Source organism: Homo sapiens, chromosome 12, assembly GCF_000001405.40.
Source record: "Homo sapiens chromosome 12, GRCh38.p14 Primary Assembly".
Classification (NCBI taxonomy): Eukaryota; Metazoa; Chordata; class Mammalia; order Primates; family Hominidae; genus Homo; species Homo sapiens.
The window spans coordinates 104,477,332-104,497,717 of record NC_000012.12 but is presented as its reverse complement, the minus strand read 5'-3'; the positions used below and the strand labels follow the sequence as shown (position 1 = coordinate 104,497,717).

Genomic DNA, 20,386 nt, shown 5'->3' with positions numbered 1-20,386 from the left:
AGAAGACAGATGTGGACATACGGTAAGAAGGTTAGCAGAGACCAAGAGACTTTGGTTCCTCATGGAAAACCCCAGAAAACAACTTAAGAAGAAACCACCAAGGAAACAGTGTAGAGAAAACAGGATGTAAACATTTTTTTTTAATACGTGAGGTACTTAAGCATCAGAGGAGTTTAATCATGTATTGATTTGCCTGGGCTGCCATAACAAAATACCACAGAGTAGGTGGCTTTCACAACAGAATTTTACGTTCTCACAGTTCTGGAGGCTGGAAGTCTAGGATCAAGGTGTCAAGCAGGGTTGGTTTCTCCTGGGGCCTTTCTCTTCGGCCTGCAGACGGCCACCATCTTGCCGTGTCCTCCCATGAGGCCTTTCCTCTGTGCGTGCACAACCGTGGTGCCTCCGTGCATCCAAATTTTCTCTTCTTACAAGAATACCAGGCAGATTGGATTAGGGCCCATCCTAATGACCTCATAATCATTTATTTGTCTCTCTTAAGACCCCATATCCACATGTAGTGACATTTTGAGGTACTGGGGGTTAGGTCTTCAACATATGAACTTTAGGGGAACAAAATTAAGCCTGCAGCAAACAAAAATGACAATATCTGTCCTTTGAGGTATAGCACCTGTTAAGTGAACGTCTTATGACAGAAACCAGGGGCTTGATATCCAGGAGAGGTCCCAGGAGGCAGGTATTCTCATCCACAAGTCAGAGGTGAGAGTAGCAAGTACCACACTGTTGCAAGAGGGGCTAAATTATCCACAATCATAACTGCAGAGGTAGGCCTGAGCCCATGAGGGAGTCAAGCAGGCCCCTCTTCCCCACCTCCAGTGGAAAGTTTTTCTGGATGGCAAATTCTTGTGGATTTCTCAGTTCCACGATCCTCAAAACACACCATACATAAAACATCCTACAAACTCTCTAGGATTTTGTTGCAGGAAACAACATCTCATATTTTCTTTGTCTTGTTTAAAAAAAAAAAAAGTTTTGAGGATTAGTCTATGACTTGAGCTCTTGACAGAGACTTCATTTCATAGCACCAAAATAAGAAAAATGTTCACAAAACATATCAAAGAGTGAAGAGAGGCCCTGCAGACTTAATTGGCCCTGTTAGAATGGCCCTGTGCCATTATTTACTGATAGGATTACCAGATGTGAGTGTGGAATTGGTCCCCCAACTTAAAATAACATAACGGATTTTTTTCTAATGTAATTTGAAGCATTTGTTAATACAATAATCCAACACAAACATTACAGCTGATTTGGGGAATTGTGGCCAGCAGTCACTTCAACAGTGCCTAAAGGCCTCTGGCCCATTATTAGGTCTAGTCAAAAAACAAAATTAAATATGATAAAGATTAACAAAAATTAAACCAACTGTGTCACATTGATTTTTTATTTGACAGGCATTATAGCACATGTATGGCTTTCCAGAAAATCTGGTGGCTCTAAGAGTGAACCTTCTAATGCAACAATAACTCATCAACACACCTTCCTCCCCACTGCCACACACACACACAGATTTGGAATAGAAACCAAACTCAAAGTGGAATAGTGTCAAGAAAAAAATGTTGTGCCTCTCTCCTCACATTTTCTATTATTCATTTAACAAGGGAATTCAAACCAAAAAAGTACAGAGTATTTTACAAGCCCAGGGCTTAGGAGACTAGGCCACTATTTCTAAAGCCCTCGCTTAAGTCTGCTATCCGAGGCATCAGTGATGACTGAGGCATGGGCCTTATTCCAAGTTTTCATTCCTGGGCACTTCAAGGAACTCCATTCAGGAGTCAGGATGTCATTATCTTCTATAACTTTCTTGATATGGGTCAGCTGAAGATGTGAATTTTAAAGAGCATAGTCAATTAGGAAAAGAAAGCCAGAGAACACCCTAGTAGCCAGACGGTTGGGTTCAAATCCAGGCACAGGCTTCAGTTCGTTGTGTGACCTTGTATGAGTTCCTTACATTCTCCAAGCCTCAATTTCCTCATCTATAAAATGGGTAAAAATGGAACCTCTTCCTCACAGAGATGTAATGAGAATTAAGTCATGCAAGATGCTTAGAACACTTAATAAGCACTCAATAAATAGTAGTTATCAATTTTTATTAGTACTAATTTATGTATTGGTTACCTGAAGTATAAATAATAAAACTACACTGTTTAACCATAATAAGATATTCCTTTACACCTACTAGGACTGTGACTATCAAAAAAAAATAAAATTAGAAAGTAACAAGTGTTGGCAAGGATGTGGGGAAACTGGAACCCTTGTGTACTGTTGGTAGGAATATAAAATGGCACGACCACTGTGGAAAAGAGTGTGGTGGGCCCTCAAAAAATTTAAAATAGAATTACCACAAAACCTGGCAATCCCACTTCTTTCAATTCTTTCAAAAGAATTGAAAGCAGGATTCCGGAGAGATATTTACACACCTATGTTCACAGCAGCAGTATCCACAACAGCCAAGACACAGGAACAACCCAGATGCCCATCAACTGAAGAACAGATAAACAAAATGTGGTGTACACATACAATGAATTATTCAGCCTTAAAAAGGAAGGAATCCTGTCACATGCTACAACATGGACGAACTCTGAGGACATTAAGCTAAGCAAAATAACCCAGTCCCAAAAACAGAAATACTGTATGACTCCACGCATCTGAAGTGTCTCAAGTTATCAAACTCATAGAAACAGAAAGTAGAACGGTGGTTACTGGAAGCTCAGGGGGTCTGAGAAAATGGGGAGTTGTTGTTTGCTTAGTGGGTACAGCATGTCAGTTTCGCAAAACAAAAAAGTTCTGGAGATCTGTTGCACAACAGTATGAATATACTTACCACTGCTGACCCGTACTCTTAAAAAGGATTAAAATGGTAAAGTTTACATTGTGCTTTTTTAACCACAATTTTACATTTTTAAAATTATTTTTAAAAATCTACCCACAAAACAAAACACCCTGAATTGTTTAAGTGTTTTACAAAATGAACTCTAGATGCCTCCGAGTCAATCAGTGAGCCCGCACCCCACCCCACAGTTATTATTCTGAATTCGTGGTGACTTACAGAGCTAATACGCCTACGACATTGTTCTGAGAAGCGCTGGAACCCATCCTCGGCAGTCAGCTGCTAGCAAGAGGATCAAGATCAGAGAAGTTTTGTGAAGTTAACTTTAAAAGGAATATTCTGACTTAGAACGGATTCTATTTTAATGCTTTGAGACAAAAATCCTTCCCCTGGGAAACTGCCTCCAACTCACTTGTCACATCCTCAGAAGTGGAGACCCTGTTTTTCATTTCTGAGATGTTATCACTGAGACATTCAAATAAGAGCAGTGTTGAAGAACAGTGACATGTGATGTGGTGGCTTTAAGGCAGTGACGGGCTATAGACACTAAGAGGCCAAGGCCAGAGGGGTCAGCTCACAAGCTCACAAGCTCCTGCCTTTGCTTCGTGGTGCAGGCTCTGTCTCTCATCGGCACGGCATCTCTTCAGAGGGGATCTCCTTGGAGATTTGGGGAAATCAGCTCAATTTTGTCACCCAGCCTGTAGTCCCAAGTCCTCGTGACTGTGGATGGGCCAGGAATGTGGCTTCACATACAGACATCTTGTTAGGCCAGGCACGGTGGCTCACACTATAATCCCAACACTTTGGGAGGCCAAGGCAGAAGGCTTGCTTGAGCCCGGAAATTCAAGACCAGCCTGGACAATACAGTGAGATCTCAAAAGATTACCCAGGCATGGTGGTGTGTGTGTTTAGTCCCAGCTACTTGGGAGGCTGGGGTGGGAAGATCACTTGAGCCCAAGAGATGGAGGCTGCAGTGAGCCAAGATGGTGCCACTGCACTTCAGCCTGGGTGACAGAGCAAGACCCAGTCTCAAAAAACAAAACCGAACACCCTGCTGCTGCACATGTGATACCACAGGCAGCATCACACCCACTGATGAAATGTGTCCGAAGGGACGGCCCTCCACAAACTGTAAATGTGTCTTTCTACATCCAAGTCTCTCTTGTCTTTCCGTGCCTACCAGGGTGAGTCACTTTGAGCATTTGCCTGAGCCAGAGTTGAGGGAAGGGTAGAGACGGCAAGGAAGGAAGCTTTGATGGAACGCCTTCAGGCCTTCAAACTCTCCCTCCATTTCCCACTTCTGAGGCATTTGACACACATTCGCATACACTATTTCCACCCCTCTCACCAGGACATGTCCAAAGCCACTGGATTAGAAGCCACAAAATGTACTTCATTCACCAACGAACCCTCAGCACCTGGCACCTCATAGGTGCTCTGTTAAGGGAATGACAGGTGTACTTCAAGAACACCTATGTCTATTAAAGAGCAAATTAAGTAGCCCAAGGCCTACCTGGTTCCAGGGCAAAAACATTCTCTTCCACATCCATCATCTGATGAGAAAGCAATAAACATCTTGCCACATTACTGGATACCAGCTCCAAGGTAAACACTAGGATCAGCGGCTCCTGCCTGAATGTGAATGGCTGAGGCCATCTGCATTGCTTGCAAACCACTGAGCCATCGTGCACCATTTCCATTAGTTTTATTTCACTTTCCGATCTTTTTTTGGTCAAAAACATCTGACCTCACTGACAGTAGGAAACACAGCTATAGGTAAGTGTGCATTTCATTTCCACTTCATTTTCCTCAGTTACGTCCTGGATTTTTTTTTTTTCCTGAGACTGGGTCTTGCTCTGTTGCCCAGGCTGGAGTGCACTGGTGTGATCTCGGCTCACTGCAACCTCCGCCTCCCGGGTTCAAGAAATTCTCCTGCCTCAGCCTCCTGAGTAGCTAGGATTACAGGTGGACACCACCATACCCGGCTAATTTTTGTATTTTTTAGTAGAGACGGGGTTTCACCATGTTGGTCAGGCTGGTCTCAAACTGCTGACCTCGTGATCTGCCCGCCTCGGTCTCCCAAAATGCTAGGATTACAGGCGTGAGCCACCGCACCCGGACACATCCTGGATTCTTATTACTAAAACCTTAATCAGCTCAACTGATGTCATGTCCCATGGTAGTATCTTCAAACTGTATCTTGTTCCAGACACACAGATCAATAGCCAAAAGTGTAATCTTAAAAAGGGATCCTATTCTTTACTTGCAACTTCCAAAGGGCATTAAAAGGGATTTATTCATTTATTTAGTCAACAGTAATATTTACTAAGATTTTACTTTAGAGCAGGCAGGCACTGGGGTATGTGCCAGAGACACATAGTGAGGGGCAGAGAGACAGAAGTTCTGGCCTCAGGAACTTCTATTCTGGTTCGGGGAAATGGATGATAACAAGGAAAAAGAAGAAAGAAGCTAATTTTCAGAGAGTGATACATGCCTTTAAAATAAATAAAACACTTTGGGAGGTGGAGGCAGGCAGATCACAAGGTCAGGAGATCAAGACCATCCTGGCTAACACAGTGAAACCCCATCTCTACTAAAAATACAAAAAATTAGCTGGGTGTAGTGGTGGGTGCCCATAGTCCCAGTTACTCAGGAGGCTGAGGCAGGAGAACGGCATGAACCCAGGAGGTGGAGCTTGCAGTGAGCAGAGATCGCGCCACTGCACTCCAGCCTGGGTGACAGAGCGAGACTCCATCTCTAAATAAATAAATAAAACAGAGTGACATGGTAAGAGGAGATTCTTTGGACTGGTTGGTCAGAAGAGGTGTCTCCAAGGAGGTATACGAGCTAAGACTGACTGATGGAAATCACACAGCCTTTGGGAAGAACAGCAGGTGCAAATGACCTGAGGCAGTTTTAGAGACAGGAGGAAGATCCACATGGCTGGAGCACAGCAAGTGAGGCTGCAGGTGGTAGGGGGCAGGTCACAATGTTGAGCAAGGATTCAGTCTTGAAGAGTCTTGTGGGCCCCAGTGAGTGGTGGGAATTTCAACCCAAGTGCAATGGGAAGTGCTGAAGTGTTTTGAGAAGGGTACTGGCCGAGTATAGTAGCTCACACCTGTAATTCCAACACTTTGGGAGGATGAGACAGGAGGATCACTTGAGGCCAGGAGTTTGAGACTAGCCTGGGAACATAGCAAGACACTGTCTCTATTGAAAAAAAATTTCTTTTTTCAATTAGCCAGGTGTGGTGGCACAAACCTGTAGTCCTAGCTACTAGGGAAGCAGAGGCAGGAGGACCACTTGAGCCTGGGAGTTCAAGGCTGCTGTGAGCCAAGATCATACCACTGCACTCCACCCTGGGCAACAGAAACAGATCCCCATAATACTAAAAAAAAAGAAAAGAAAAGAAGAAGAAGAAGAAGAAGAGACTAAGGTAAAGTGGTTCTTGTTTCTGAAAATCTCATTCAGACTGCTACATAAAGAATAGATCATGGGGGGCACAGGGAGATAACTTTTATTATATAGATTTTACTTATACACTCTTGCTAAATTATCCTGTCCATCCCACCCCCGGTCACTCTCAGAAAACTCCAGATCAAATGAGATGAGTATGGTGAATAGGGCTGGCAATTAGAGGATACTCTCCAATGGTGATGAAGGGAGATGTCTGGGGGAAATCCAGCAGGATGTTGATTTAGTATGTACACAGTGAGAGGATACTTGTAGAGAACCTAGAATCTTCTCTGAATGTGACGGGCCCTCAGAGATAATTGTTAACAGATAAGTGGATGATTAAATACACTTCCTCCAGTAGGCTAGATGTTAAGACGGAGATCAAAAAAAAAAAAGCCAGAGACCTCCCCTGCCACCCAGCACAGCACCTGTTCCACAGCAGGGGCTCTGAAGTTGGAGAGAGAGAAGTGAAATGTGAGCAAAATGACAGGCTATGCCAAAGATCGCCCTGTGTTTTTCTCTTTGAAGGATGGTCAATATTTTATTATTTCTCAAATCTTAGAGTTCTGAAAATGGTTCAAGAATAAACACTCCTGAGATCAAAATATTGTCTCTTTAGATCTGCCACACATACTAAAACGTGCCACGCTGACTTTTTTTAAATGTCAGTTCTGGTGAAGAATCCATCCTCTCTTTTCAAAGGGTGAAAAAAGCCCACTTTCCACTTCTCAAATTCCCCTGACCAATGTTCAGCAACAGCAGGTTCAAGACTTAACACAGAATAAAAATGCAGCATCAACTCCAATCTCTCTCTCTTGCTTTTGTTGAACTTTTCAAGAAAGGAAATCATTGTGCTTGTACCTTGATCTGGGAATGGTGTAAGCTCAGGGCAAAATGCTGATATGGTGAAGTTTTCTGATAAACTCACATTGCCTACAACTTCCCTTAAAACACTTCGGCACCAACTGCATGACACGGTATGTGTCCATTTTAATATTGGTGCAGTTGGGTAATACCTGAGAACCTTAAACAGGAAACACACATGCCAGGGGTGATTCATATTTGAAAGACCATATCAGAGCCCACTCCCATTGGCAGCCTAATAGCACGTCTGCCATCTTTATCTCCTATACACACCAGAGGGTGGGAAAGTTAGTATAACGAATGAGGGCTGTTCAAGATGTGTGATTTGGCTAGGCTTGCCCTGCTTTTCCTCAACCAGCTAGGCCAGGACACACATCTTTCAGAGTACACTGGCCCAGAGAGCCACCTGGTCTGTGCACAGACATTTTCAAAGGATTCTGTTGCCTAATCCAACTAGAAAGCTGAATGCTGCCCCAGAACTTTCTCATCTGTCATGGGAGAAATTTCCATGCAAAGAGAGCCTCAGAGGACAAACAATTTGAACTTCATCAGGCTCCAAGTAGAAGCTGCATGAATGTTTGTGTGCCTGCTTGAGGTAGAATCTGGTCTGAGGCTTGCTTTCATCCTACTAGTCCCATGATGTTGAGAGCATATGGAGAGATCAGTGGCCCTCAGCTCCCTCAAAATACTGGAGGCCACAGGCCTCTGCCAAAATCAGCCAGTGATAGTTGTTATAGATTGAATTGTGTCCTCCCCTCCCCTAAATTCATGTTTAAGGATAGGGTATTCTGGCCGGGCGCAGTGGCTCATGCCTATAATCCCAGCACTTTGGGAGGCCGAGGTGGGTAGATCACAAAGTCAAGAGATTGAGACCATCCTGGCCAACTCTCTACCAAAAATACAAAAATTAGCTGGGCGTGGTGGTGCATGCCTGTAGTCCCAGCTACTCAGGAGGCTGAGGCAGAAGAATCACTTGAACCCAGGACGGGGAGGTTGCAGTGAGCCAAGATCGTGCCACTGCACTCCAGCCTGGCGACAGAGTGAGACTCCATCTCAAAAATAAATAAATAAATAAATAAAAGATAGGGTATTCCTACCCCCAAGGACCTTAAAATGTTACTATATTTGGAAACAGGGCCTTTAAAGAGGTAATTAAGTCAAAACAGTGGATGGACCCTAATCCAATCTGACTGGTGTCCTTGTAAGAAGAAATTAGGGCCAGGCGCAGTGGCTCACAACTGTAATCCCAGCACTTGGGGAGGCCGAGGCAGGCAGATCACCTGAGGTCAGGAGTCCGAGACCAGCATGGCCAACATGGTGAAACCCCATCTCTACTAAAAATACAAAAATTAGCTGGGAATGGTGGCGGACGCCTGTAATCCCAGCTACTTGGGAGGCTGAGGCCGGAAAATCACTTGAACTTGGGAGGTGGAGGTTGCAGTGAGCCAAGATCATGCCATTGCACTCCAGCCTGGGCAAAACAAGAGCAAAACTCCATCTCAAGGAAAAAAAAAAGAGGAAGAAGAAGAAATTAGGACACAGAAAGAGACATCAGGGAGGTGCACAGAGGTAAAAGACCATGTGAGGATGTGAGGACACAGTGAGAAGGTGGCCATCAAGCCAAGAAGAGAGGCCTCAGGAGGAACCAACCTACCAATATCTTGATCCTGGACTTCCGGCCTCCAGAACTGCGAGCCACCCAGTTTGCAGTACTTTGTTATAGCAGCCCTAGCAAACTAACACAACGGTGAACAACCAAACAGGCTTGGTATGTGTATAGACACACACACACACACACACACACACACACACGCGTACACATACACACATACACGCACACATACACACATACACACACATACGCATACACAGACGCATACACATACACGCACACATACACACACACATACACACGCACACACACATACATGCACACATACATACACACATACGCATACATACGCATACATACACACACATACACACGCATACACACACATACACGCACACATACACACATATACACACAGAGATACACACACATATACACGGACACACATACACACACTCATACACATGCATACACACATACATGCATATACACACATACATACATGCATACACATACATAGACACATACACATACCTGGACACACGCACACATACACACACATACACACGCATACACATACGCACACACATGCATACACACACACAGACCTCTCTACTCTCAGGCTCCCCAAGGGGCTTTGCATGTGGAGCACCTCCTCACCCTCCACAGCACCCTCACCTGCACCTGCCATCTTGGGCAGCAACATCTTTCTCCGTCCTTTGAACGTGGTTCCCATGTGCAAAGCCAATTCTCAGAAGCCCTGGGCCCCTAACAAGCTAGCTTAATTAAAAAGAAAAAAAAAATCATCCATATAAAAAAATTAGTTGCCAGATAATGTTTGTTTTTGAAAAGTTTGCCAGGATTTTAAACCAGGCGTGGTGGCACGCACCAGTAGTCCCAGCTACTTGGGAGGCTGAGGCAGGGGGATTGCTTGAGCCCAGGAGTTCGAGGCTGCAGTGAGCTATGATTGTGTCACTGCACTCCAGCCTGGAAAACAAAGTAAGGCTCTGTCTCAAAAAATAAAAATAAAAATAAATCTTCTAATAGATGTACGAAGTGGTATCTCCTTGTGAAAAAAAAATAGAGAAAAAAAAAGAAAAATGTACCAGTATTTTAACCACGCAAGGAGACATGCAAGAGAATACAAATAATTAAATGATACGCAACTCTATGTTCACCCAGGAAGCTCCACTTTGTTTAAAAAAAAAAAAATAGGTACATACTGTTTCGTATGCATTTTTACAGGATTCTTAAAGGAGCCAGCAATCTAAGTTCAGCTGGTGAGCTCAGATAAATATCTTTACCTCTCCAAGCCCAACTTCCTCATCAGTAAAATAAGGACAATGAAAACATCTCTAAAGCTGTATTAAACAAGACAATGCCAGGAGCAATGGCTCATGCCTGTAATACTAACACTTTGGGAGGTTGAAGCGGGAGCATCGCTTGAGCTCAGGCATTCAAGACCAGCCGGGGCAACATACTGAGACCTTGTCTCTACAAAGAGTTTAAAAATTAACCAGGTGTGGTGGCATGTGCCTGTAGTCCCAGCTAGTTGTGAGGCTGAGGTGGGAGGATCGCTTAAGCCCAAGAAGTCAAGGCTGCAGTGAGCTATGATCATGCCACTGCACTCCTGCCTGGAAGACAGTGAGACCCTGTCTCAAGAAAAACAAAACAAAAAAAGAAAAACCAACATATTGTTTCTAAAGCACCTGGCATAGCATGTATCAGGCACTCAAGAAGAGACAGTCATTATTATGAGTCTAGTAATGTTGATAACGGGGTTATTACAAGCAAGAATTCTTGACAGTCATGGGATGGAAAGAAGGCTATTTTTAGGCAGACAGAAACTATAATCTGGCAAGCCTGTGTTCTTCATTTATAAAGTCTACTGTATCGACCAAAGGATTCACCGAAAACCAAGAGAGGACTTTAAAATATCTCAGACCAGAAATGTGCTTTGCTTTGGTATATTCCTAACTCTATCTGGGCATGCCTCTTTATAAAAGCCTTGCGCTGTTGGATTGCTGAATTGGACTATTATGTATTTGTGTAACAAAGGGTAGAAGGCTAGTATGCCCCCCTTCGTTTTAAACATGCTCTTCCTTCAGAAATCATGTTCAGCTGCAATGGGAGTAGGGCAGGAGCCCCGAATTTGGGTCTTCCTACTCCCAGGGAAGTTCTTTTCCCCTTCAGTCGGCTCAGGGGCTCTTTCCAGCTCTGAAATTCCATGATTCTATGATTCGGTTTGTGCCAGGGAGCGGCCCTGGCAATGAGGCTTTCGTGTGTGGTCATTAAATACTCACCATGGTGAAGCCTGACTGGAAAGTTCCAGAAACACACCCTTCTAGACAATCTCACCATCCAGACGTACCAGAAAATGCAGCCCACATCTGTCAAACTCTCTCATGCATGCATGGGCTGTGAAGCCCAGGATTAAGTTCTGGCTGGTGAACCCCACAGTCCAGCCACACTGTGTCACCAACAGGCAAGAAGTCAGACCCCCAAACAGCTGAAGTCATCATTTGTGAAAGCTGGGAGCACCCCGCTGCATTCCCCGATTCCTGTCCAAACAGCCATTCGACAGAGCGGCCCTCTAGTCTAATATTCATTTCTGTGTCATTAAAAAAAAAAAAAAATCACACTGACTTTAAAACACTTTTTCCCCATGGATGTGAAGTGAAGCAGGAAGACTGCCCGTGACTGGTATACATCTGCTGGAGAACACAGACTAATGATCATATTTTCCCTAAAGAGAAAAATTTAAAGGTCAAGCAAGAATGACTAGCAGCATGCACTGGAAGTAACCCAGCAAAGTGAAATTCACAGCACAGGGAGCCCCAAAGCCCAGGCAGGGAAGGCTGGGAGGGGAAGGAAGACGAAGATGGGCACACACACACAGGCACACACAGGCACACACGTGCACACATGCACACACATGCCCACACACACACGCACACAGAATGGTGCGATGACTTATGCTCCAGCTTTTAACCAAGCAGGCCGTGCAAAGGCCCAATTCACCTTAAATCACCCTGCCGCCTAACAATGGTGCATCAGTGATTACAACCCAAGGGGCCCTGAAGGGAGGAGGCAGGTGGATCAGCAGGAAGTCTGTGGTAGGAGGTCTGTTCAGTTTCCACCGTTTCCATTTGCAGCTCAAGAACTCATGATAAGTCCCGCTGATTACAGATGCGTTGTGGTTATGAATGTTAAAGTTGCTTTGGGCTTGAATTCAAGGCTCCCCACGACCAATTCCTAAGACTGGCAATGTCAGGGAACATAGAGAAGTGCCCGAGTCAGTCTACCTTCTGCAGAGAAAGTCTAAACCGATTGTTTCTGCCATTGTCACAACTGCACACAGACATTGAACAACCCTGAAGTTGGAGCTGGGTGTCAGATGGCCAGTTCACCCTCTGCGGTGAGCAGAAGGCCAGAAACAGCGAGGTTCCCAAAGGTCGTGGATCCTTCTTAGGATCTGCAGCTCCTCCGAGCCCCGCTCCCTGCAGCTGTGGCCCTCCTGACATGGGGTTGCATACCACTCTTCTTGCCCACTGTGTACTTTCTAAGATCAAATACAAAGTCTCTAGAGGTGCCCCTGTATATTCTCTGCTGGAATCATTTGCTGTCGTGCCTTCGTGTTCCCGATTTTTTATAAGAGTCAATCTTCCAGAGATGTGTTTCTCAAAGCAAGGTCGGGGAACCTCCTGCAGCAGAATCGCCTCAGGATGTGTCTGTTAAATAGATTCCCAGGCCCCACGGCTGCATTTTGAGTGAGACTCAGGTGATTTCTAAGCACATGAACCTCTGAGGCCCGCTGTCCTGGAGCAGCAATTCCAAAAAATATTCCCAAGGGTGCTCCAAATTTCTGGGGTAAGTTTTAAAGACATTCATTTCTGGACCCCACAGCCTACTAGAGCCTGCCCCTACCTCCCTAATTCTGAAATAGACAGTCCAGAGAATTTAACTCCCCAGACGGCACCCGTGTGTGTAAGCCCCTGACATTCGGGCCATGATTCCCAAGGCAAGGAGGCCTCACTCCCTTCCCACTCTTTTCCAACAATCCCCACATCCTTCATGTCTTAGCTTCAGCATGGCTTGCTCAGGAGAGAGCCTTCTGTGACCACTACCGCCATCCCACCTGCCAACATTCATTAGGTTTCCTTGCTATGTGCTCTCTTGACACCCTGTCCTTCTCTTTTGTATAACTTAACGCCATTGTTACTAAATAGGTACCTGTTTAATTGTTTAATATCTGATCCTCCACTAGGGTGATAACAATCATACATATGTATCACTGACCACTTACAATGTCCCTGGGCTGTGCCAAACACTTACCCTGCATTAGTTCATTAAATGTAGACCTCACCATAACCCTGCAAGGTAGACACTCCTGTATACCCATTTTATAGATGAGAACATTGTAAGTTTGCCAGGTCTGCCTTGTCACCTCCATATCTCAGGTGTGAATAGCATCTGCACAGGGTAGGTGCTCAGTAACTATTTAATGAATAAATGAAGTGGTACCTCTCCAGTCCCCAAAAAAGATTCTGTGGTTGTGTAAGTTTAAGAAATTCTGGGTTAACTGGGGTTCTTAATGGCAGGACTTCCCAGAGCACTGAGTATGTTAATGTGATCGTGAATCGTCATGATGGGGCTGTCCCATTTGTGATCTCAAGCCAAGGATGCCTGTTCCCAGGAACCAGCACACAGCTCTCCAAGCCCAGTCTTTCCCTCCTTGGCAATGACCCACTGAAAGATGACTTGTCTCTGTTGCCCACTCCAGCCACTAACCAGGAGAGGAACCATTAGGAAATGGGTCACTCTGACCATGATGCCATCTAATCTCATTCCATCTTATGCCAATTCCCAACAATGGCAAAAAGAAGACCTAGATGCAGGTGACTATGTAGCAGTAGAAACAGCAGACCTTCGCAGACAGTAGTAGAAACAAACAGACTGTAGAGTCAAGCAGGCCCAGGTTCAGATCCTCCCTGACCCCAGCAGCAGACCCTCTACTTGCAGAAGCTACAGAGACTACGTCCCCACCTTTGCCTCCAGCCTCCTCCACCAGGCCAGCTTCAACAGCAGGTAAGAAGAGCCACAGTCCTCCCCGACCCCAGGCCTCACCTGGGTCATTCATCTACTCATCTGTTCCTTTCACTCACCCAATAAACAAACTCACTAAGGGGGCGTACTGAGGAATAAGTACACGTGGAGCTTGTGGAGCAGAATACTGAAGAAGAGACATAAAACAAACTCAGGTACCCCTTACTCTCCAAAAGCAGGAACCAAAGAGATGCAGGTAACATTGGGGAGTTTGTATCTGAACTCTCTTCTCTTATTATCCAAAATTGGCAGGCTGAATGAATCACATCCTGAGGGATTGCTGCATGGACAAATGGAGTGCAATGAAAAAAAGTCAAAGTGCATGGGGAGGCCGGGCACGGTGGCTCACGCCTGTAATCCCAGCACTTTGAGAGGCCGAGGCAGGCCGATCACCTGAGGTCAGGAGTTCAAGACCAGCTTGGCCAACATGGCAAAATCCTGTCTCTACTAAAAATACAAAAATTAGCCGGGCATGGTGGCTGGCACCTGTAATCCCAGCTACTCGAGAGGCTGAGGCAGAAGAATCTCTTGAACCCAGGAAGCAGAGGTTGCAGTGAGCTGAGATCACGTCACTGCACTCCAGTCTGGGCGACAGAGCAAGACTCCATCTCAACAAAAAACAACCAAATGCATGGGGAGAGACTGTAACCAAGGGACCTGCCTTCAGGAACTGGGATGTGAAGGGTGTGGAGAATGGATGGGGTGTGAAGGGTGAGCATGTGAAGATGCAGGAGTCCAGTTTTGGAGATATTGCACCAGGAGGCATGTGGGTATCAATGAACTACATGAAAGGATGTCCAAGTTGTTCTTAAGTAGAGCCAAGGTTAGAAACCTTGAATCTGTGGTGACCCGAATCAGCACTGTTTCAGACAGGATGACTTTCTCCCATGCTGACTCCGGGCCAAGTCTATGAGAACCACCATCTGTTCCAAAAAGTAAGCAGAGACTTCAGACGTGAAGCCACTAAAAGACAGAAGAAGTGGGGACATTTTTAAGACATTAAAGTCTTAAGTGGGGGGATGCACAGACTCTGGAGTGAGTTGGGACCGAGTTGAAATCTGCAACCTTGGGTAAGTGGAATGAGTTCTCTGAGCTGCTGTCTTTGTCCAGGTAACATGTACCTTATGAGGCCGTTGTGAGAATTTGAGGCAATGTGTGTGAAGCTCCGGGCACACACTAGGTCCTCCATAATTGTCAGCTCTTATTACAACAACTCCTACCTTGCTCAAAGGACCAAAATCTTGTCTCATCGATCTAAGCAAGCAGAACCACGTTGGAGTTCTGTGAGCCTTTCCTCTGTGGGAAAAGCCAAAATGACACTGAGGGTGGGGAAAGGGAAGGGAGGCAGTGGCCACATGGTCTAGGAAAGTGGTGAGCCCACTTGCCTAAAAAATAAAGCCATGTGGATGTAAAGGATGTGCCTAAACTTAAAAGAAGTAAACACCAGCTGCCCATTTGACATGGCCTCCTTTCATTTTTGCGGGGGGGGGCTCCCTGTTTGATGTGGCTCTGGGGCCCAGCAGCCCCAGGTGGCAGAGCAGCCTCCACTGGCTCGTAAATACCCAGGGTTACCCCAGATGACACACCGTCTTCAGCAAAGAGAAGGGATGGGGGAAGGCGAAAGGAAGGCAGAAGGTAGTGAGGAATAGGAAAAAAAAAAAGAGCCATACATTCTTTATATCAGCAACAATCTATCCAAAAATAAAATCAAGAAAACAATCCTGGGGAGGCTGAGGTGGGTGGATCGCTTGAGGTCAGGAGTTTGAAACCAGCCTGGCCAACATGGTGAAACCCTGTCTCTACTAAAAAATATATATATATACAATAAAATTAGCCAGGCATTGTGGCGGGTTCCTGTAATCCCAGCTACTCGGGAGGCTGAGGCAGGAGAATTGCTTGAACATGGGAGGTGGAGGCTGCAGTGAGCCAAGATCATACCATTGCACTCCAGCCTGGGCAACAAGAACAAAACTCCAAAAAAAAAAAATGCAAGAGAAAGGAAGGAAAAGAGGGACGGAGGGAGGGAGAGAGGAAGGAAGGAAGGAAGGAAGGAAAGAAGGAAGGAAACAGTCCTATTTACAATAACATCAAAAAGATATTCTTTTTTCAAGTCATAGACGAGTAAATACTCTGTTCACTTGGATGAGACATTTAGGTATCAGAAACCCCAAAGCCCTCTCCAAAAATGCCTTCCCTTTCTTAGCCAATCTTTGCCATATCTGATATCGTTGCCCCCCATCGACGCGTGAGAGAATCCATGACCGCTCCCTACAGAAGGAAGCCACCAGCTGGAACAGTGGGCTCAGGTGACTGCACCCAGGTTTGGTTTTTGAAACCATTTCTTTCAGTGGCTTAAAAAGCTGGGCCAAATTCTAAAAATTGTAAAGTATGACAGTAGATTACTTTTTTTAAGTGATAACTTATTCCAGCGCACCCAACTGGGAAGGCCAATACGAGGAAGCAACATTAAACGGGACCTGAAGGAAAAGCACGCCAAGCACAGGGAACGGCAAGTGCAAAATTCGTGACGTGGCAAGAGTGTGGTGCTCATAAGGCACTGAAAGAAGGCAGAGTGGCGCAAGTCCAGCTGGGCAGGGGAACAAGGAAGTGGGACCAGGCAGGCCTCAGTGAGGCGGGACCTTGAAGTCAGGCTAAGGATTTGGGTTTCTCTTCTGGGTGCAATGAGAAGTCATGAAAGGCTGTACCTTTGCAGTGTTACAGCAGAGCAGAAAGGCAGCTCTCTTCCCATTTCATAGCTGGAAAGTACGGCACAGAGAGGTTAAGTGACCTCTGCTGAGTCACATCCCGGCACAGGGGTGAAGCTAAGAAGCCACATCCCCTGACTCCAACTGGAAAGAATCCCTACTGGGTCAAGGCAAGAAATGTGTTCCTTCAGACTGCAGTATTTTCCCAGGACTGCTATAACAAAGTGCCACAAACTTGGTGGCTTAATACAATAGAAATGTATTCCTTCATGGTTCTGGAGACCACAAGTCCAAAATCAAGATGTTGGCAGGCCCATCCATGCCCTCTCTGAGGCCTCTAGAGAAGGATCCTTTCTTGTTTCTTCCAGCTTCTGGTGGCTCCTGGCATTCCTTGGCTCATGGCAGCATCAATCCAGTCTCTGCCTCCATTATCACACGGTCTTATGTGTGTTTCTGTGTCTCTTCTCCTCTTATAATAAGGACGCTAGTCATATTGGATTAAGGGCACACTGTCCTCTAATATGACTTCATCTTTTTTTTTTTTTTTTTTTTGAGATGGAATCTTGCTCTGTAGCCCAGGCTGGGGTGCAGTGGCACGATCTCAGCTCACTGCAACCTCCGCCTCCCAGGTTTAAGCAATTCTCCTGCCTCAGCCTCCTGAGTAGCTGGGATTACAGGCACCCGCCACCATGCCCAGCTAATTTTTTGTATTTTTTAGTAGAGACGGGGTTTCACCATCTTGGCCAGGCTGGTCTCAAACTCCTGACCTCGTGATCCACCCACCTCAGCCTCCCAAAGTGCTGGGATTACAGGTGGGAGCCACTGCACCTGGTTGACTTCATCTTAACTAACTATATTTGCAATGCCCCTATTTCCAAGTCAAGTCACATTCTGAGGTTCCAGGAAGAACATGAATTTGGAGGGGGGGGCGGGGACACTATCAACTCAGTGCACTGACTAAGCAGATGTTTATGAAAGATAGGCCTGAATTCAACAGGGGCTCAGAGCACTGACCAACTAAAGTATAGAACCTTTTGCAGCAGAACTCCTGGTTGACCCCCAATATCCATTCTCTGTCTTCCTTTAGAATAAAGAAAACACAAGTTTAGCACATGACCACACGGAATGAAGACTACCTTTCCCAGCCTCCCCCACAGACATAAATGGCTGGAGCTAAGTGAGATTTAAGCAAAAGTGATGGATCCAAGGGGAATGCCCTCCGCTGGACCTCTCTCCCTCTTCCCACTGGCAGGAAGGCAGACATGGTGGTGAGCCATCTTCAACAAGTGGCATGCATACATGAGAAAAATATGTCCTGTGGCTTCTTCAAGCCATAGGAACACATTTGTCTTCTAGCAACAGGAGGTAAACAGAATCAAAAGTTCATGCGGCCATTTTCAGTCCAAATAGGTTTTCCTAGTGGCAAAAAACTTCCTAGCATACTACCTACTACCTAAGAGTGCAAGACTTTTTAAAATCTAATTATATATTTTTTACCTCTTGCCTCTCTTGGTTGTTATTCATCAGAAAAACAAGATCTGATGCCTGTCTTGGATAAGAGCATCTCCAGTTTTCTTTCTCTCACTCCCAACCTTACTCTCAAACTGGGCATGTGATCCCGGCCACACCAATGAGATTTGCTCACTCAACAGATTTTTACTGAACACTTGCTGTAGGACAGGCACCGTTCTAGGAGCTGGGGATGACAGTAAACAAAATATAAAAATCCCTGCCCTTAAGAACTTTACATTCCAGAACTTTTGTGGAAACTGCTGGAAAAAAGAAGTACTCTCTCTTTCTACTGGGACTGCTGAAAGGCTAGGATGGAGGCTGGAACCGCAGGCAGCCATCTTGCCACCATGAGGAGACAGACACAGCATGAACAATCACATGCTAGGGTGCTTGGTCTCTGCCACACTGAGTTTGGCTCAGTTCCCTGAGCCAAAAAAAAGGGGGGGCCCTTTTTTTTTGCTTAAACCAATTTGAGTTGGGTTGGGAAAGGAAGGAGTTGCATCCAATTTCTACCAATACGTTAAGAGTCCCTCAGAAAGATATCTGAGGCAAGTTTGGAAATGCCAAGTAAAGACAGGTGACTCTTTTGAAAACGGCTTTTCCTTGGACATGCCTTGGACATGCACTGTTTAAAGGCTCCTTCCATGTTGTCATTTCCAGTTTTAAAAACCTCCTTTTCAATAACCCCCTAGAATGAAGGCACCAGTTCACTGCCTCTCCCACTATGTGTTAAGAACCAAACCATGTCATCTCATCCCCCAAATGACCAGAGACTAGATGGTTCCAGTCACCTCCTGAAGCTCTTGAAATTGCCTGCCACTGCTGCTGATGGCCACAGGGAACACCACCTTTATTTCCCAAAAGGCTAAATCCCACCGGTTTTCCTCAAGGTAGTGACTGGGCCCCAACATTTCTGATAATTGCTTTCCTTCCCAGGCAAGCACCTCCATGCTCTGGGGCCCCGTGAATACTCAGCTGTTAACAGGAACAGCCTGAACTAGACTTACAGATAACCGAAGCTAACTGACCACATCCTACTTAACAGGAAACCTAATAGACAGCTATTTTAGACTTATTCTCACTTCCCCTCATCCGCTTCCATCTCGGCACTCTGCTGCTGGGAAGTCAGGGTGTACATAAAAGAGACTATGGGGAAGGGGTCAGTGGAGACTCCAGAATTCAGATATAAAAAGGCTTAGGGACGTGGACCTGGTGGAAGAGAGGTGCTGGCACTGCATTCACGTGGCAAACATCACATTTTTACTTACAGTGTATTTTGGGGTCTCTGGTATGGGCTAGTGGAAATCATTTTTTTAATGTTTAAGAAAAGAAAATAATAAAATTAAAATATACCCAGGCCTTCCTTCTGGAGATATAAGTAACAGAAATACTACACAGGAAGCTCCATCTGCCGTGTGTGTTTGTGTGTGTGTGTGTAACGATCAGCAATGTCTTTCACTTTTGCAAGAAGAAAGATACAGTTTGAGTTATGGGTTTGCTTTGGTTTTTCTCTCCCTGTCTCCCACCCCCACTTCCTGTTAGGGGGGTTGCTTCCCAAACTTGAGAGCCCCATCAACACACAGCTCCCTGGAGAGGCTTCATTCTCAGGGTGCTGCCAGCCATCACCCTTCTTAGAGTCATAGGAGACATGTGAAGAGCTCTTAGACCTTCTCACTAAATGAACTTCCTCATAACTGAATTCCTTTCTCCAATCAGTTGAGGACAATTGAGTGCACAATGCCTCCTAGAGCTATCATTGTGTCTTTCCAACTGCAGAGCAATTGTTCATTTTCCTTTCAGCTCAAGGATCGTTCCTTGTCTTAGTCCATTTGGACTGCTATATCAAAATATCCTGCACTAGGTGGCTTGTAAACTACAGAAATTTATTGCTCAAACAGTTCTGGAGGCTGGAAAGTCCAAGATCGAGGCACTGGCAGATTTGGTGTCTGGAAAGGTCCCACTTCCTGGTTCTCACTGTGTCCTCCCATGGCACAAGAGGTGAGGGTCTCTCTGGGGTCTCTTTTATAAGGGCACTAATCCCATTCATGAGGGCTCCCTCATGACCTAATCACGTCCCAAAGACCACCACCTTCTAAGAGCCTCATATTGGGGATTAGGTTTCAACACATGAATTAGGGAGAGACGCAGCATTCAGACAATAGGGTTTCTCCATATGTTTTTCCTCCTAAATCACAAAAAGAAATTTTTCTCGCAGATGCCAGCCCACGCTTTGCAGAGAGAAGTTCTTATTAGAGCACTTTGAGTCAGATGAGCCAGGGCATCCGA

General features: G+C 45.4%; 1 protein-coding gene across 4 annotated transcripts in view, besides 7 other annotated features; it reads right to left on the bottom strand.

Annotated features, from left to right (window-relative positions):
- Positions 1-20,386, bottom strand: part of CHST11 (carbohydrate sulfotransferase 11) — a 305,067-nt gene that overhangs the window by 264,297 nt on the left and 20,384 nt on the right. The window lies entirely within an intron of this gene.
- Positions 11-60: an enhancer, noted in NCBI's record as "active region_6919". NCBI's record gives its function as "activates an Ori minimal core promoter by ATAC-STARR-seq in GM12878 lymphoblastoid cells {active_cell/tissue: GM12878}" and the evidence as "EXISTENCE:reporter gene assay evidence [ECO:0000049][PMID:35858748]".
- Positions 171-220: an enhancer, noted in NCBI's record as "active region_6918". NCBI's record gives its function as "activates an Ori minimal core promoter by ATAC-STARR-seq in GM12878 lymphoblastoid cells {active_cell/tissue: GM12878}" and the evidence as "EXISTENCE:reporter gene assay evidence [ECO:0000049][PMID:35858748]".
- Positions 3,441-3,630: an enhancer, noted in NCBI's record as "active region_6917". NCBI's record gives its function as "activates an Ori minimal core promoter by ATAC-STARR-seq in GM12878 lymphoblastoid cells {active_cell/tissue: GM12878}" and the evidence as "EXISTENCE:reporter gene assay evidence [ECO:0000049][PMID:35858748]".
- Positions 4,253-4,422: an enhancer, noted in NCBI's record as "experimental_23928 CRE fragment used in MPRA reporter constructs". NCBI's record gives its function as "activates a minimal promoter by MPRAs in K562 erythroleukemia cells, with activity observed for the introgressed 12:104887159 variant allele {active_cell/tissue: K562}" and the evidence as "EXISTENCE:reporter gene assay evidence [ECO:0000049][PMID:34662402]".
- Positions 5,507-5,710: a silencer, noted in NCBI's record as "fragment chr12:104885786-104885989 (GRCh37/hg19 assembly coordinates)". NCBI's record gives its function as "represses an EF-1alpha promoter that drives an FKBP-Casp9 reporter gene in an ReSE screen in K562 erythroleukemia cells {active_cell/tissue: K562}" and the evidence as "EXISTENCE:reporter gene assay evidence [ECO:0000049][PMID:32094911]".
- Positions 14,286-14,786: an enhancer, noted in NCBI's record as "H3K4me1 hESC enhancer chr12:104876710-104877210 (GRCh37/hg19 assembly coordinates)". NCBI's record gives its function as "activates a minimal SCP1, AML or CMV promoter by ChIP-STARR-seq in primed H9 embryonic stem cells {active_cell/tissue: H9 hESC(primed)}" and the evidence as "EXISTENCE:reporter gene assay evidence [ECO:0000049][PMID:30033119]".
- Positions 18,948-18,997: an enhancer, noted in NCBI's record as "active region_6916". NCBI's record gives its function as "activates an Ori minimal core promoter by ATAC-STARR-seq in GM12878 lymphoblastoid cells {active_cell/tissue: GM12878}" and the evidence as "EXISTENCE:reporter gene assay evidence [ECO:0000049][PMID:35858748]".